Source organism: Homo sapiens, chromosome 6 (assembly GCF_000001405.40).
Source record: "Homo sapiens chromosome 6, GRCh38.p14 Primary Assembly".
Classification (NCBI taxonomy): Eukaryota; Metazoa; Chordata; class Mammalia; order Primates; family Hominidae; genus Homo; species Homo sapiens.
In genome coordinates, this window is record NC_000006.12 from 79,306,472 (window position 1) to 79,325,389 (window position 18,918).

The 18,918-nt window shown below is 42.8% G+C and overlaps 1 long non-coding RNA gene across 1 annotated transcript, besides 1 other annotated feature; it reads right to left on the reverse strand.

The window, feature by feature from the left end:
* Positions 1–1,197: 1,197 nt before the first annotated feature.
* Positions 1,198–6,913, reverse strand: LCAL1 (lung cancer associated lncRNA 1). Its single transcript, NR_130915.1, has 3 exons — positions 6,718–6,913; positions 5,897–6,009; positions 1,198–4,773 (listed from the first exon to the last, which is right to left on the reverse strand). It is a non-coding gene; the product is annotated as a lung cancer associated lncRNA 1 (long non-coding RNA).
* Positions 6,249–7,448: an enhancer, noted in NCBI's record as "MED14-independent group 3 enhancer chr6:80022437-80023636 (GRCh37/hg19 assembly coordinates)". NCBI's record gives its function as "activates an origin of replication core promoter dependent on BRD2, BRD4, P300/CBP and CDK7 cofactors, and independent of MED14, by STARR-seq in HCT116 cells {active_cell/tissue: HCT116}" and the evidence as "EXISTENCE:reporter gene assay evidence [ECO:0000049][PMID:35650434]".

An 18,918-nucleotide genomic window follows, 5' to 3' on the forward strand; every position in this document is an offset into this window, starting at 1 on the left:
AAAATGAAAAGAAATAAAGGCTTGGGGAAAATAGCAACAAATGGATGGAAAATATGAAATTAATTATCTCTATCTGAAAAATCTGTTTCTTATAAAGAATTAGAGATCTGTTGCACTTCAGAATTATTTACATTTGAGAAAAGTTCTCGCCGTCAGTGGAAGAACATTACATGAAGAGGTATCTTTGGGCACATGAGCCATCTAACATAGAGTTAGAAGAGTCCAAAGAGCTCATCCTGCCTGGTCGTCTGTGTCTAACCAGATGACTACCTCAACTACTTGAAATAAAGTGGTTCTTGTCTACTTTGCAAGATGTTTTTTCTTTTCCTTTTTTCTTCTAAAAATAAGCAAACAACAAAACAGAGGGTCAAGATCTGTTTCTCTCTTTGATTCCTAAGATTTGTTTAAAGAAAACTTTGTTTCAGAAATTACATATTTCAGACACAGTTTTAGGTCTATTTTGTTCTATTCCACATAATATCGATACTAAGACAATGATTGGGCCAGCAGCATTTTACTAAAGTTTTCCCAACGACATTAACCAATCAATTAAATAATTAATTTTTTTTGAGACAGAGTCTTGCTCTGTCACCCAGGCTGGAGTACAGTGGCACAATCTCAGCTCACCGCAATCTCCACCTCCTAGGTTCAAGTGATTCTTATGCCTCAGCATCCTGAGTAGTTAGGACTACAGGCATGTGCCACCATGCCTGGCTAATTTTTGCATTTTTAGTAGAGATGGGGTTTCACCATGTTGGCCAGGCTGGTCTCAAACTCCTGGCCTCAAACAATCCTCCTGCCTTGGCCTTCCAAAGTGCTGGGATTACAAATGTGAGCCACCACATTCAGCTCAGACATTAATTTAGCTTGATATATATATATGGATTAATTAAAGGAGGATTAGTCAGAATAGAAAGCACTGAAAAAGGAAAATTACAGAAGAAAATCTGAGTGGTGCTCATTCAGTTGCCATCCAGAGGAAAAGGAATCTTAGTTGTCAGGCCTGAACTACTCAGATCACATTGAGCATCTTATGTCTGTTTTGAGAACAGTATATCAGGATGACTTAGCTTGTAGTCATTAAACTTGAAATTTAATTGGTCCCTTGTTCTGATTCAACACTCAGGTTCCAACTGAGGTACGAGGGGAGTCGGTGGGCAAGTGGTTGGTAGCTGAAAAAACACTCAAAGAATTGTAGACAGTTTCAACATGGCTTTACTCTCTCTCTGGGCACAAGCGAGCCATATGTGCAGCATCAGCAAGGTATACCTTTTACAGACAATAGTGGCTCTGAGCCAAACACGAGCTCATGTGAGTTGTTACCTAATGTGCCTCATGTGGTGTGGTTACATAACGAGCAAGGTTGTGTGCTTGCACTCCAAACCCACTGAGTCATGCTGCACCAGAAGGCTGCCTCAGCCTACTCCTGACTAAAGCACAGCCATTTCCCTTACACTACACCCCCTAGGCTGAGGGCGTCCTCCAGGCAGGGACACATGCCTATATGGCGGAGCCCTGAGTCCATAACCCACAACAACAATACAGAGAGCAACAGCTCACTACTAGGATCTCAGCTATGATACTTATGACTATTAGGGCCCAATGTACGCCAGAACCTAGGGATGCTCACCATCTCTGCAGGGGGTTGACAGTGAGGCTCTCAGTCACCTTAATCTCCTGGAAGACCCCTTTGCAGGGCTGCTGTTATGTTCTGCTGATTGTCAGGGATAAGGTACAACATTGTGTTCCTAAAAGGGCACAGGTGGCTCCTTGGGCAGCAGTTATGTCTAAGGCCACTTGGTTTTGCAACACCACTTTTTGATCTGATCAACCTCATTCATTAACAGGAGGAGGGACACTCAGGTGTAATTCAGAGCCTGAGCGGTGTGCTCCGCAAGAGCAGTAAATTGTGCTTCTACAGTTTTGACACCTGCTCCAGGGATAGTCATTGCCAAAGGGTAGAAACACCAGGGGGCTCATCACATTCGCAAAAACTGAGAGCACAGTGCCTCCCAGTTATACAGGCATCTGGGCAATGTGGGGAGAACAGTAGCAGGTACATAAGGCCACCCCCAGATACAACATCCACTCCAGTTTGCTGATAGGAAAGGCTACTGTGTCCTCATAGACCCATAAGCTCCCAAGAGGCAAAAAGTCCATTGGGGTCCGACCTTGGTGAGGCCACTTGTTCCACCATACCTTCAGTGTGGTGACACATGTTATGTTTGCACAGGCCGTGACAGGTACCCATCCTGTTACCCCAATGTTGCTCTGTGCACTGCAATGCCTGGGCTTGGGCTACTACATGTTCCCCTACTAGCCAGCCCCACTCATCACGAATGCTACGGTCCAGCCATGGGTCTTGCTGTGTCCTTTGTCCAAAGCTTGCCACATTGTGTTCCAGGCATCAGCCATGGGATCTCAAGTCTCCAGGCATGTCCAGTTCTCTGCAGACACGGGATGTATGTGTCAGGGAAAGCTGTCTGCAGCTGCTGCTGGAAAGGCAGTGCAGGTCCAACAGTTGGAAACATTGGTCACCTCAGCATAGGTGTGGGGTCAGTCCACAATGCAATTGGAGCATGTTAACCTACGGTTGAAATGACAGAGCAGGCACAGGTACTAACAGAGGTAAATCACATCCCTCAGGCAAAATATAGGCTAACTTTCCATCCCTGGATAACAATGCAGCCACCAAGGGCTTTTGCCCTGGGTGATGGTACCACACCTTCTCAAATCTCCATGGTTCCTTTGAATCCTGTATCCATGCCAAAGTCACAGCGTAGCTCATAATAGGCCCATCAGATAGTACATATGTCCCTCAGAGGAGGGCTCCTTCCCTGGCTGTTCCTCTACAAACAGTCAACCTTGGAAGCCATGTATTGAACACTCAAAAAGTGACATGCAAGTCATACTGTAGGCCCTCCCCACAGGGAGCTATGATGGCCAACCACCAGCAGTGGAGAGCTTGGAGGGTCCATGGCCACAGCCAGGTTTTCTGTTCCCCTGCCTTCAGGGTTGTTGGGGCAGGCAACAACAGGTTACCATTTGTCCCCATACCTGATCGGAGGAGGTCATCCTTGGTATGTATCTCCAATTGAATGGGGGTGGTGGCCTAGTGAAACAAAGCCTCCACTGGGGCCGGGCCACCTTTCTGTGGCCATTCATTTAAGGTTTGGAGCACCAGGTCCAGCCTGGAACTCCAGCTCCGCAAAGACAGGGGTTTGACATGCAAGCGTAATCCATTCTTCAAGATCCCATTATATCATTCAATAATACCTCAGCTTGTGGGCTGTATGGCACATGGAATCCCCACTTTATGTCCATTTGCTGTGCCCATCATTGTACCTGTTGTCCAGTGAAATGTGTTCCCCTATCACTCTCAATGGCCAGAGGACAACCATACAGGGAACATAAGTGTTGCAGGGCCTGGATGGTGTTCTGTTGGTTGGCCACCCTGCAAGGGTAGGTGAACAACAGGCCTGTGGCCATGTCTACAGCCGTTAGTGCATGCGTATACCCTCGCGACTTTGGCAGCGGCCCGATGTAGTCTACTTCCCACCTGGTCAAGGGCACTCACCCTATTGTTACTTGTTGTATAACACCGGGCAGCTGCCTCTTTTTAGGATATGTCTGAACACATGCCAGGCATTTCTGACAAGCCTCACAAATGTCTTGCTTGGGAAGGGACAGACCCCAACACTTATTGAATTGTTGCATCAGTTTACCCCCTGCATGTCCCAGTTTCCGGTGTAGCCACAAGGTCACATCTTGTGTTGGTGCTGACTCTGACCATCTGACCTTAGCCAAGGCATCTGCCTCATCATTACTAGGGGTGGCCAAAGGCATATGGCCTGACACATGATAAATAGTTACCTCTTTTTGATGACCTATTTCCCAAAGGTCTTGCCATATGGCTTGGCCTCAAATGGGTCTGTGGCTCACTAGCCAATTCTGTATTTTCCAAGTAGTTAACCACAAGGTTAAGCCTCAGTAGACTGCCCAGCTATCAGTACAGATTACCACAGGTGTCACCTCCTTGGTGATCACCATCCACACTGCTCTGAGTTCAGCCCATTGGCTACTTTGTCCGCACCCAGTTTCAAACCATATGGTGTCAGTACTAGGTTGGACTGCAACAGTGGTCCAGGCAGCAGTAGCACCTCATCTACTGTGTACCATGCCCCCTCAGGAATCCTGGGATGCCCTTCCTTAAATGGTGAAGACTCAGGATCTAGGGGTGCCTCAGGCCGCATGGCCTTATCTTGCATTAGGACTACACGTCCCAAGACCTCTTGCAACTCTGCTGCTATGGGACTTGTACTCAGCTTACTCCACTGCTGCAAGGAGTTGCCCCATTTTGCCAAAGTGGACATCTGTGCTATCCCACTCCAGGTGGTCATTACACATAGACGCATCCATCCTGTTATTGGGTAAGTTGTCCATATGATGACTGCAGCCTGTCCTGTCATGCTCTCATGAGCCCGAAGGCCAGCATATACAGCTGCTAGCTGTTTCTCTATCAATGAATACCGGAGTTCAGCTCCTTTCCATAGTTGGGACCAAAAGCCTACTGGCATTCTTAGGCGCTCTGTGCATTGCCACAAGCCTCAACCAAAACCGTCTGTGGCCACATGCACCTCCAGCTCAAACAGGTGCCCCTGGTTAATTACTTGTAGGGCTTGTGGCTGCTGAATAGCGCACCTGGCTGCCAGTAAGGCAGTCTCAGCCACACCATCCCAGTCCCAGGCAAGAGAGGCATTACTGCTTCTAAATCTGCAAGAGAATCAGAGGTTAACATAATATCATCAATGAGATTATGACATATGGTGCAGCTGTGCATATAGCCCTGTGGCAACACTGTGAAAATCCATTGTCGCTGTCCCATAAAGGTAAAGTATTCCTGGCTCTCTGGAAAAGAATGCATTAGCCAAGTCTACCACATAGTGGTATTGTTCCAATTCCATCATCGAGCAGTCTATCAAATCCATGATAGATGAGACAGCTGCCAAACCTTGTGAAACACTCACCCCCAGAATGTATTCAGGAGAGACATACACAGCGCATAAGCAGGGAGCCAAACGGTGATGCCAAGGTATAGAGATACAGGTTTCACTTTCACTGACCAGCTGCCATAACTGTCAATGTAAGCAGGTTTGCCAAGAAACTTATCCGGGTTCCCATAAACAAGGCTGCAATCTGTGCCAGTATCCACCAGCACCCGCTGTACATCGGTGGGGGACTGGTGGATCACTAATTCCACATGTGGCCTCCAGTCATTTAGTGTCCCCGCAAGCTGGGCACCTTGGCCAGTTCCCTAATCAAGCAAAAAAGGCTCTACATTTCCACTTGGCTGCAGCAAGTCATCTTTGAACTGAAGCGCCTGGGTGGGACCAGGTTACACAGCAATGTCCTTCTCCCCCTTGGGCATTTTCTGGAATTGCTCCTCCAGAGACAACTGTCTCCACAAAGTTAAAAGCACTTCATTGGGTTGCTTATCAATTTTCTCTCAGTCAACCCGGCCAAAATAAAATCTATACATGTCTGTGAGTGTGTCACTCGTTGGCGCCCCCTTTTTACCATGGGGGGACCCCCTGTGGGTGGGGCATCTTCCCCTTCTTTACAGCATGGACCCCTCGGTCCTGCCGATGGCCTTCTGCTTCCCTGAGAGTCACCATAGCAGTGGTCACTTCATGTATGTGGTACCCTATGTACAGGTTGAGGACAGTAGCTAGGGAGTCAAAGGCACTCAGGGGTGCAGAACCCAACACAAGATTCTCCCATGTGGTAGCTGAAGCATTCATCTCCTGGTCCCTGGGTATTCAGGTCAAACATAGCCTGCCGCATACCCGTCTCCCGAATGACTTGCACCAAATCACATAGACTGGTATTTACTCACGGTTTGGGTATTTCACCAGCGTTGTTCCACACAGTCTGTATGGCTGTCCATAGCCACTCAATCAGGATGTGATCACTTTGCCCTTGTGCCAACTGCTTGTTCACCTGCAACCACTGACAGAGGGAGGGGTGAGTCGTGATAGAGGCCAGCTTTTCCATCTCAGAGGCAGAACAGGAGATACTATCTGCTCTCTTGTCTCACAAATGAAGCATCCAGGCAGGTAGACATTCCCCTGGATGCTGGCGGCACTGCTTGCCTAATTCCCACAACTCAGTTGGGGTATAGGCAGTATATGAAGTATGTTGCATTACGGTGGGTGGGGGGGGGTCCCTGAGCCTTCTCTTGGGGCCCCAACAGCTGTTCATGATCTACCTTCTGGTGGACCACTGGGTGAGCCCACAACAAGAGTTCTTCTTTCTCTGTATCAGACCAAGTGGGGATCTCTGGCTGAGACAATGGACCCATGCCTACATTCACAGCAGCCTCTAATTCCTTTTCCAAGCTCTGTAGCTGGGTTTCCAGGTGCCCCACCTCTGCCTGAAGGGCGCTTACCTGCACTGCATCCCTCAGGGACTGGGTGTGTGCTTCTCATAGCACAGTCAAAATGCCCATCCAACTCTACCAGCAAAAGCTCACTCCTTCTCAGTGCTCTGTGCTTCCAGCAGCTTCAGAGCCTTCTCCATGCTTGCAGGGGACCCATCTATCGCCACCCAGGTTTCCACCAAAGCCCATCCAAACAGCACAGCTGCTACCAGGTACCACAACCCACGCTGCAGCCTCATGGCCGACCCGGAATCAGGGGGGACCAAAGGGTCACTCACCTCAGGATCCTGTTCATGAGCCCAATTGTCATGTTCTAACTGAGATCTGAGGGGAGTGGGTGGGCAAGTGGCAGGTAGCTGGAAAAACACTCAAGGAATCGTAGATAGTTTCGACATGGCTTTATTCTCTCTCTGGGCACAAGTGAGCCATATGTACAGCATCAGCAAGGTAGTTGTACCTTTTACAGACAATAGTGGCTCTGAGCCAAGCATGAACTCATGTGAGTACTTACCTAATACACCTCACATGACGTGGTTACGTAATGTGTGGGGGTTGTACACCTGCGCTCCAAATGTGCTAAGTCATGCTGTGCTGGAAGTCCCAGCCTACTCTTGACTAAAGCACAGCCATTCCCCTTATGAATATGTATCAAGATAACTTCTATTATTAATATTTGAATTTCCATGCAGTGCTGCCTGCAACAAGAAAATAAACATTACTCCAAACAAAGAATAAAATTCTAAATTGGAGTCTTACCTAGAACTTAAATGTAGGGGAGAGCAACCTCCAGAAATTCTTTTGGCTCTGGGTGGTGCATGGGAAACAGCTGATACCAGTCCCACTCCCTAACTGTAACTGATGGTTCCAAAGCTCCCCACCTGGCTGGGGGCATGTGCAAATGTGCCTCAGGGAACCAAACACTAAACTACTCAGCCATTAAGTCTCTTTCAGTCATTACTCTCTTTCAGGGAGTACACCTCTGAGGTGCCCCTAGAGTGGGTGAGTGCCCAGAGTTGGTGAATCCTACAGATGAGGAAACACAGTTCTAGCAATTACTGAGAACAGATGTGCCTCTCAGTCTTAGAAGGATTGAGTCCTCCCAATGATTGAGATTCTCTACCTATAAAGTCACCAGACAGGATCTGCAAAGGGAGGGGTCCATATTAATTTCAGATACGTGTGACGGTATGTCTGAAAGAGACCTAGAATCTATTTTTTTCATCCTTAAGATTTTATACCTTTATTTTTTTATTTTTTATTTATTTTTATTTTTTGAGACAGTTTCACTCTTGTTGCCCAGGCTGAAGTTCAATGGCATGATCTTGGCTCACTTCAACCTCTGCCTCCCGGGTTCAAGCAATTCTCCTGCCTCAGCCTCCTGAGTAGCTGGGATTACAGGTGCCCGCCACCACACCCAGCTAGTTTTTGTATTTTTAGTAGAGATGGGGTTTTACCACATTGACCAGGCTGGTCTTGAACTCCTGACCTCAGGTGATCCAGCCACCTCGGCCTCCCAAAGTGCTAGGATTACAGGTGTGAGCCACCATGCCTGGTCTTTATACCTTTATTAATTTTAAAATTTTAAACTTTTTTAATTTAAAATTTTATACTTTTAAAATTAGATTTTTAATTTTAAATCTCTTATTATGGGCAGGGGAGGGGGGTTGTTTGTTGGGAGAGTATTTGCCATTAATAAAGGTGGATTAGCTGGGAACTTCTGAATGGATCTGTTTCAATTCCCTGACAAACAGGTGTTGATTTACTTCTACACTTACCGTCCTCCTACCAAGATGCATGCTTTCTGTTTAAACATATGGTCACACTTTGATGTTTTTTTGGCTTTCACTTATTTATTTTCATTTATATCCTGTCAGAGTTAACTATCTCCAGGGAATATTGGTAGTGTGTTCAATGGAGAGCTAGAGAATGGCTCTGGAGAAAGATGTGTTTAATTAAATTAAAAATTCGCTAACACATGCCTGTGTAAAAGGGGACCAGGTAATGCAGACTGCTTCTTGCTGAAACAAATTTGGGACAATTTAAATCTGTTTCTACTTAGGGCCAGTATATTATAGTTATTTATTCTGCTTACTGTTCTGGGGTTGATATCAGTAAAGAGGGAGAAGGAAAGCCAAGAAAGAGAAAGGAAAAGAAGACTGCACATGCCCATGTCAGAATGTATGATATATTCATTTAAACTGCACTATATAAAACTATAGAGGTATCAGAAGTGTCTGATGAATTAACAAATGCATCGATACCTTTTCAGCATCTAATTATTATGTGGTCTTAATATTTTTTTTTAAAGTTTGACACAAAAAATTATTATAATGCTCAATTTCTTGATAGCAAACCACACTGGTAACCACACTGGTAATCAGGTATAAATTGAAACTCTTGTCATTCAAGTCTGATGGATGCTACGGTGTGCTGCCCAGATACCACCTTCAGCAGGAGACTCTTAGTACCACAGCTGTCCCAAGTGTTGAGGATTGCTGATGGCACGGCTGAGTTTCTTCTCAGGGAACAGCCTATGACTGGTTCACAGCTCTCCATGGAATAGGATAGATACTAGCCACTATTGTAGCAGTACCACAGTTTAACTCTCCCCAAACTAGTCCTCCACCTCTTACTTTCTTACAGGTGTTGTTCCTGAGAGCACTCCCCAATAAACCTTGGCCACGCATAATATCTCTACCTTGCAGTCTATCTAGAGAACCTAAGCTGAGACGGAAGCATAGGTACATTTGATAACATTTAAATTTTTTGTATGTGCATTTTTAAGTGAGATGGGTCTAGCATAGCCTGTGAGGCTTTGGAAACAAAATTAATCTGGCTTCTAAATTGAGGGGATTTTTCCCTTTTTCTTCCAATGGCCTGGAAATGTTTGAATAACATTGGAATCATCTGTTCTTTAAAAATTAAACCCATCTGGTCTTTGTGCCTTTTTTCATGATAGATTCTTAATCACCAGCCCAACATCTTCTACAGTGATTGTCAATTTAAGGTAATTTATATTTTGTTAGGAAATCATTCACTTCCTCTGTGTTTTCAAATTTGTAGCCATGGAATTGCAAGCAGCAACCTCTTATAATTCTTTGAATCATGTCTGTATCTATGTTTTTGTTTCCTTCTCGTTTGTAACCTTGCATATGTTTGCAAGTGACCTCTTGTGCTTGCCATGTGCATTCTCTCTTTAATCAGGTTCACAGAGAGTTTATCTACTTTATTGGTCTCAAAAAAATAAAAATAAAAACAGCTTTCGGATTTATTTATCCCTTCTGCTTTATTTTGGCTTGTTTTGGTTTTCTACTTTATTAATTTCAGCTTCTATTCATATTAAGCCAATCCTTTTTAGTTTCTTTCATCATTCGTTTCCCAATTTCTGGTGATTCGTTTTTTCTCTTTTACCTTTAATAACAAAGACATTTAAAGCAATAAGTTCATTTTGAGTGTAGATTTTGCTGTTCCACTTCATTGCTTTCTCAGTAGTTGGTAATTTCACATTTTATTTTTTATTTTTTTGATTAATCGATTAACTTTCCAAAAGTTAAAACTTTTATAATTTACACTTCATTTTATTGAAGTGTGATTAGGAAAATAACCCTAAAAACACACATTTTTCTTTATTTTATTTTTGGCAACTTTAATTTGTCAAGGTTTCCTTTTTGGCCAAATACAGGATTAATTTTGTAAATGTTTCTTGAATCAATGGGAGAAATACAGTAAATTGAATTTACTGATTTGTATACTAGATGTATTTAACTCTGGGAGACATATGTTTAATTCTCTAATTGTATCAAGTTCTCCTTGCATTTTTCATATTTTTGCTTTACATGCATACTTTGGAAATAAGCATTATGTCTAAAAACAGCAAGGTATGTACCTTAATTTAAAAATACTTTATTGCTAAAAAATTCTAACCATCATCTGTTCCTTCAGTGAGTTGTAATCTTTTTGCTGGTGGAGGGTCTTGCCTCCATGTTGATGGCTGCTGACTGATCAGGATGGTGGTTGCTAAAGGCTGGGGTGGCTGTGGCAATTTCTTGAAATAGGACAACAGTGAAGTTTGCTGCATCATTTGACTCTTCTTTTCATGAAAGATTTCTCTAGCATGTAATGCTGTTTGATAGCAGTTTACCCACAATAGCACTTCTTTCAAAATTGGAATCAATCCTCTCAAACCCTGCCATTGCTTTATCAACTAAGTTCATGTAATATTCTAAGTCCTTTGTTGTTATTTCAACAATGTTCACAGCATCTTCACCAGGAGATCTTGTCTCAAGAAACTACTTTCTTTGGTTATCTATAAAAAGCAACTCCTCATTCATTCAAGTTTTATCACAAGATTACAGCAATTCAGTCAAATCTTCAGGCCTCACTTCTAATTTTAGTTCTTTTGCTATTTCCATCACATCTCTAGCTGCTACCTCCACTGAGTCTGGAACCCCTCAAAATCATCCATGAGGGGTGTTGGAATCAACTTCTTCCAAACTCCTGTTAATTTGATATTTTGACTTCTACCTATGAATCACGAATATTCTCTTTTTTTTTTTTTTTGAGACAGGGTCTCACTCTGTCCCTCAGGCTAGAGTCCAGTGATGTGATCTCAGCTCACTGCAAATTTTGCCTCCCAGGCTCAAGTGATCCCACCACCTCAGCCCCTCAAGTATCTGGGATTACAGGTATGCACAACCACACCTGCCTAATTTTTAATAGACATGGGGTTTTGCCATGTTGCCCAGGCTGGTTTTGAACTCCTGAGCTCAAGCAATCTGCCCACCTCAGCCTTCCAAAGTGGAATTACAAGCATGAGCCACTGCACCCTGCCACGAATGTTCTCAATGGCATTTAGAATGGTGAATCCTTTCCAGGAGGTTTTCAATGTGCTTTGCCCATATTCATCAGAGGAATCACTATGTATGGCAGCTATAGCCTTATAAAATGTATTTCTTAAAGAATAAGACTTGAGAATTAGAACTACCCTTTGATCTGTGGGGTACAGAATGAATGTTGTGTTAGCAGGCATGAAAACAACATTAATCTCCATGTACATCTCCATCAGAACTTTTGGGTGATCAAGTGTCTTGCCAACGAGCAGTAATATTTTGAAAAGAATCTTATTTTCTGAGCAATAGGTCTCAACAGTGAGCTTAAAATATTCAGTAAACCTTGCTGTAAACAGATGTGCTGCCATCCAGGCTCTGTTGCTCCATTGATACAACCCAGGCCAAGTAGATTTATCATAATTGTTAAGGGCTATAGGATTTTTGGAATAGCAAATAAGAATTGGCTCCCACTTATAGTCACCAGCTATATTAGCTCTTAACAAGAGTCAGCCTATCCTTCAAAGCTTTGAAGCCAGGCACTGACTTTTCTCCTCTAGCTATGAAAGTCCTAGATGGTGTCTTCTTCCAAGAGGAGGCTGTTTTATCTACATTGAAAGTTGTTGTTGTTTAGTGGAGCCACCTTCATCAATGATCTTAGCCAGATCTTCTGGATAACTTGCTGCAGCTTCTCCATCAGCACTCTCTGCTTCACCTTGCACTTTTATGTTATGGAAATATCTTCTTTCCTTGAACCTCATGAACCAACCTGCGCTAGCTTACAACTTTTCTTCTGCAGCCTTTTCACCTCTCTTAACCATCACAGAATTGAAGAAAGTTAGGGACTTGTTCTGGATTAGGTTTTGGTTTAAAGGAAAGTTGTAGCGGTTTGATCTTCTGTCCAGACCACTTGAATTGTCTCTATTACGGCAATAAAGTGGTTTCACTTTATCACTCATGTATTCACTGCAATAGCACTTTTAATTTCCTTCACTAACTTTTCCTTTGCATTCACAACTTGGCTGACTGTTACAAGAGGCCTAGCTTTTGGGCTATCTGGGCTGTCAACATGCCCTCCTCACTAAGCTTAATCATTTCTAACTTTTGATTTAAGGTGAGAGAAGTGAGATGCTTCCTTTTGCATAAACACTTAGAGGCTATTGTAGGGTTATTAATTAACCTATTTTCAAATTATTGTTTATTTCAGGGAATAGGAGGGCCTGAGGAGAGGCAAAGAGACAGGGAAAGTGCTGTTCAGCGTCACATGGGCATGGTTTGTGGTGCCCCAAAACAATTAAAATAACCTCAAAGATCTCTGATCACAGATCACAACAGATATAAAGTTAGCAAGATTGTGAGAATTACCAAATGTGACACAGACATGAAATGAGCACATGCTGTTGGAAGAATGGTGTGGACAGACTAGCTTGCTTCAGGGTTACAACAAAACTTAAAGAGAAGTACAATAAAACAGATATGCCTGTATATTTTTGCTGCCATATTATGTGAGGCAGATCTCCACTGAAGTTTTGGGACTGATTGTGAAGTTTGGGACTGATTGTGAAGAATGCTTAAATATTAAGCATTCTTGTTCCTATAAACCACTTGTCACATTTGTCATTCCACACTTGAAAATTTCTCACTGTACATTCTCTGAAGCTTCTGTCAGGCTGTTCTGGCCCTTCTTTTATTGTCTGCACTTTCTTTACCTCTTCTTGTGCAGTGTTGGCCTGCACCCTCAAAATCTTATTCTCTTTGACTGGTTAATAACTTTTGCTTCATTTGCTCCTTCCCAACCATGCTTGGGACATCTTCATTTTTCTCATTTTGTCTTCTCTCCAGGTAATTTTTCTGCAGACCAAAACCTAATGTCACCATCATACTGAAACTCTTTTTTTTAAATTTTATTATTATTATACTTTAAGTTTTAGGGTACCTGAGCACAACATGCAGGTTTGTTACATATGTATACATGTGCCATGTTGGTGTGCTGCACCTATTAACTCGTCATTTAGCATCAGGTATATCTCCTGATTCTATACCTCCCCCCTCCCCCCACCCCACAACAGTCCCCGGTGTGTGATGTTCCCCTTCCTGTGTCCACGTGTTCTCATTGTTCAATTCCCACCTATGAGTGAGAATATGCGGTGTTTGGTTTTGTGTCCTTGCGATAGTTTGCTGAGAATGACGGTTTCCAGATTCATCCATGTCCCTACAAAGGACATGAACTCATCCTTTTTTATGGCTGCATAGGATTCCATGGTGTATATGTGCCACATTTTCTTAATCCACTCTATCACTGTTGGACATTTGGGTTGGTTCCAAGTCTTTGCTATTGTGAATAGTGCCGCAATAAACATATGTGTGCATATGTTTTTATAGCAGCATGATTTATAATCCTTTGGGTATATACCCAGTAATGGGATGGCTGGGTCAAATGGTATTTCTGGTTCTAGATCCCTGAGGAATCACCACACTGTCTTCCACATGGTTGAACTAGTTTACAGTCCCACCAACAGTGTAAAAGTGTGCCTATTTCTCCACATCCTCTCCAGCACCTGTTATTTCCTGACTTTTTAATGATCGCCATTCTAACTGGTGTGAGATGGTATTTCATTGTGGTTTTGATTTGCATTTCTCTGATGGCCAGTGATGATGAGCATTTTTTCATGTGTCTTTTGGCTGCATAAATGTCTTCTTTTGAGAAGTGTCTGTTCACATCGTCTGCCCACTTTTTGATGGGGTTGTTTGTTTGTTTCTTGTAAATTTGTTTGAGTTCTTTGTAGATTCTGGATATTAGCCCTTTGTCAGATGAATAGATTGCAAAAATTTTCTCCCATTCTGTAGGTTGCCTTTTCACTCTGATGCTAGTTTCTTTTGCTGTGCAGAAGCTCTTTCATTTAATTAGATCCCATTTGTCAATTTTGGCTTTTGTTGCCATTGCTTTTGGTGTTTTAGACATGACGTGCTTGCCCATGCCGATGTCCTGAATGGTAATGCCTAGGTTTTCTTCTAGGGTTTTTACGGTTTTAGGTCTAACATGTAAGTCTTTAATCCATCTTGAATTAATTTTTGTATAAGGTGTAAGGAAGGGATCCAGTTTCAGCTTTCTACATATGGCTAGCCAGTTTTCCCAGCACCATTTATTAAATAGTGCTTGTTTTTGTCAGGTTTGTCATTACTTGTTTTTGTCAGGTTTGTCAAAGATCAGATAGTTGTAGATATGCGGCATTATTTCTGAGGGCTCTGTTCTGTCCCATTGGTCTATATCTCTGTTTTGGTACCAGTACCATGCTGTTTTGGTTACTGTAGCCTTGTAGTATAGTTTGAAGGCAGGTAGTGTGATGCCTCCAGCTTTGTTCTTTTGGCTTAGGATTGACTTGGCAATGCGGGCTCTTTTTTGGTTCCATATGAACTTTAAAGTAGTTTTTTCCAATTCTGTGAAGAAAGTCATTGCTAGCTTGATGGGGATGGCATTGAATCTATAAATTACCTTGGGCAGTCTGGCCATTTTTACGATATTGATTCTTCCTACCCATGAGCATGGAATGTTCTTCCATTTGTTTGTATCCTCTTTTATTTCCTTGAGCAGTGGTTTGTAGTTCTCCTTGAAGAGGTCCCTCACATCCCTTGTAAGTTGGATTCCTAAGTATTTTATTCTCTTTGAAGCAATTGTGAATGAGAGTTTACTCATGATTTGGCTCTCTGTTTGTGTGTTATTGGTGTGTAAGAATACTTGTGATTTTTGCACATTGATTTTGTATCCTGAGACTTTGCTGAAGTTGCTTATCAGCTTAAGGAGATTTTGGGCTGAGATGATGGGGTTTTCTAAATATACAGTCATGTCATCTGCAGACAGGGATAATTTGACTTCCTCTTTTCCTAGTTGAATGCCCTTTATTTCCTTCTCCTGCCTGATTGCCCTGGCCAGAACTTCCAACCCTATGTTGAATAGGAGTGGTGAGAGAGGGCATCCCTGTCTTGTGCCAGTTTTCAAAGGGAATGCTTCCAGTTTTTGTCCATTCAGTATGATATTGGCTGTGGGTTTGTCATAGAGAGCTCTTATTATTTTGAGATACAACCCATCAATACCTAATTTATTGAGAGTTTTTAGCATGAAGGGCTGTTGAATTTTGTCAAAGGCCTTTTCTGCATCTATTGAGATAATCATGTGGTTTTTGTCATTGGTTCTGTTTATATGCTGGATTACGTTTATTGATTTGTGTATGTTGAACCAGCCATGCATCCCAGGGATGAAGCCCACTTGATCATGGTGGATAAGCTTTTTGATATGCTGCTGGATTCGGTTTGCCAGTATTTTATTGAGGATTTTTGCATCAATGTTCATCAAGGATATTTGTCTAAAATTCTCCTTTTTTGTTGTGTCTCTGCCAGGCTTTGGTATAAGGATGATGCTGGCTTCATAAAATGAGTTAGGGAGGAGAGGATTCCCTCTTTTTCTATTGATTGGAATAGTTTCAGAAGGAATGGTACCAGCTCCTCCTGGTACCTCTGGTAGAATTCGGCTGTGAATCCATCTGGTCCTGGACTTTTATTGGTTGGTAACCTATTAATTATTGCCTCAATTTCAGAGCCTGTTATTAGTCTATTCAGAGATTCGGCTTCTTTCTGGTTTAGTCTTGGGAGGGTGTATGTGTCAAGGAATTTATCCATTTCTTGTAGATTTTCTAGTTTATTTGCATAGAGGTGTTTATAGTATTCTCTGATGGCAGTTTGTATTTCTGTGGGATCAGTGGTGATATCCCCTTTGTCATTTTTTATTGCGTCTATTTGATTCTTCTCTCTTTTCTTCTTTATTAGTCTTGCTAGCGGTCTATCAATTTTGTTGATCTTTTCAAAAAACCAGCTCCTGGATTCATTGACTTTTTGAAGGGTTTTTTGTGTCTCTATTTCCTTCAGTTCTACTCTGATCTTAGTTATTTCTTCTCTTCTGCTAGCTTTTGAGTGTGTTTGCTCTTGCTTCTCTAGTTCTTTTAATTGTGATGTTAGGGTGTCAATTTTGGATCTTTCCTGCTTTCTCTTGTGGGTATTTAGTGCTATAAATTTCCCTCTACACACTGCTTTGAATGTGTCCCAGAGATTCTGGTATATTGTGTCTTTGTTCTCGTTGGTTTCAAAGAACATCTTTGTTTCTGCCTTCATTTCATTATGTACCCAGTAGTCATTCAGAAGCAGGTTGTTCAGTTTCCATGTAGTTGAGTGGTTTTGAGTGAGTTTCTTAATGCTGAGTTCTAGTTTGATTGCACTGTGGTCTGAGAGACAGTTTGTTATAATTTCTGTTCTTTTACATTTGCTGAGGATTGCTTTACTTCCAACACTGTGGTCAATTTTGGAATAGGTTTGGTGTGGTGCTGAAAAGAATGTACATTCTGTTGATTTGGGGTGGAGAGTTCTGAAGATGTCTATTAGGTCCGCTTGGTGCAGAGTTGAGTTCAATCCTGGATATCCTTGTCAACTTTCTGTCTCATTGATCTGTCTAATGTTGACAGTGGGATGTTAAAATCTCCCATTGTTATTGTGTGGGAGTCTAAGTCTCTTTGTAGGTCACTAAGGACTTGCTTTATCAATCTGGGTGCTCCTGTATTGGGTGCATATATATTTAGGATAGTTAGCTCTTCTTGTTGAATTAATCCCTTTACCATTATGTAATGGCCTTCTTTGTCTCTTTTGATCTTTGTTGGTTTAAAGGCTGTTTTATCCGAGACTAGGATTGCAACCCCTGCTTTTTTTTGTTTTCCATTTGCTTGGTAGATCTTCCTCCATCCCTTTATTTTGAGTCTATGTGTGTCTCTGTACATGAGATGAGTCTCCTGAATACAGCACACTGATGGGTCTTGAGTCTTTATCCAATTTGCCAGCCTGTGTCTTTTAATTGGAGCATTTAGCCCATTTACATTTAAGGTTAATATTGTTATGTGTGAATTTGATCCTGTCATTATGATGTTAGCTGGTTATTTTGCTCGTTAGTTGATGCAGTTTCTTCCTAGCCTTGATGGTCTTTACAATTTGGCTTGTTTTTGCAGTGGCTGGTACCGGTTGTTCCTTTCCATGTTTAGTGCTTCCTTCAGGAGGTCTTTTAGGGCAGGTCTCATAGTGACAAAATCTCTCAGCATTTGCTTGTCTGTAAAGGATTTTATTTCTCCTTCACTTATGAAGCTTAGTTTGGCTGGATATGAAATTCTGGGTTGAAAATTCTTTTCTTGAAGAATGTTGAATATTGGCCCCCACTCTCTTCTGGCTTTAGAATTTGTGCCAAGAGATCAGCTGTTAGTCTGATGGGCTTCCCTTTGTGGGTAACCCAACCTTTCTCTCTGGCTGCCCTTAACTGTTTTTCCTTCATTTCAACTTTGGTGAATCTGACTATTATGTGTCTTGGAGTTGCTCTTCTTGAGGAGTCTCTCTGTGGCGTTCTCTGTATTTCCTGAATTTGAATTTTGGCCTGCCTTGCTAGATTGGGGAAGTTCTCCTGGATAATATCCTGCAGAATGTTTTCCAACTTGGTTCCATTCTCCCCATCACTTTCAGGTACACCAATCAGATGTAGATTTGGTCTTTTTACATAGTCCCATATTTCTTGGAGGCTTTGTTCATTTCTTTTTATTATTTTGTCTCTAAACTTCTCTTCTTGCTTCATTTCATTCATTTCGTCTTCCATCGCTGGTACCCTTTCTTCCAGTTGATCACATCGGCTACTGAGGCTTGTGCATTCATCACGTAGTTCTCATGCCGTGGCTTTCAGCTCCATCAGGTCCTTTAAGGAGTTCTCTGCATTGGTTATTCTAGTTAGCCATTCATCTAATTTTTTTCAAAGTTTTTAACTTCTTTGCCATTGGTTTGAACTTCCTCCTTTAGCTGGGAATAATTTGATCTTCTGGAGCCTTCTTCTCTTAACCTGTCAAAGTCATTCTCCATCCAGCTTTGTTCCATTGCTGGTGAGGAGCTGCGTTCCTTTGGAGGAGGAGAAGCACTCTGATTTTTAGAGTTTCCAGTTTTTCTGCTCTGTTTTTTCCCCATCTTTGTGGTTTTATCTACCTTTGGTCTTTGATGATGGTGACTTACTGATGGGTTTTTGGTGTAGATGTCGTTTCTGTTTGTGGACCCTCAGCTGCAGGTCTGTTGGAGTTTGCTGGAAGTGCACTCCAGACCCTGTTTGCCTGGGTATCAGCAGCGGTGTCTGCAGAACAGCGGATATTCGTGAACTGCAAATGCTGCTGCCTGATCGTTCCTTTGGATGTTTTGTCTCAGAGGAGTACCCGGCCATGTGAGGTGTCAGTCTGCCCCTACTGGGGGGTGCCTCCTTGTTAGGCTACTCGGGGTTCAGGGACCCAATTGAGGAGGCAGTCTGCCTGTTCTCAGATCTCAAGCTGCATGCTGGGAGAACCACTACTCTCTTCAAAGGTGTCAGACAGGGACATTTAAGTCTGCAGCGGTTACTGCTGCCTTTTGTTTGTCTGTGCCCTGCCCCCAGAGGTGGAGCCTACAAAGGCAGGCAGGCCTCCTTGAGCTGTGGTGGGTTCCACCCAGTTTGAGCTTCCCAGTGGCTTTGTTTACCTACTCAAGCCTCAGCAATGGCAGGCGCCCCTCCACCAGCCTCGCTGCTGCCTTACAGTTTGATCTCAGACTGCTGTGCTA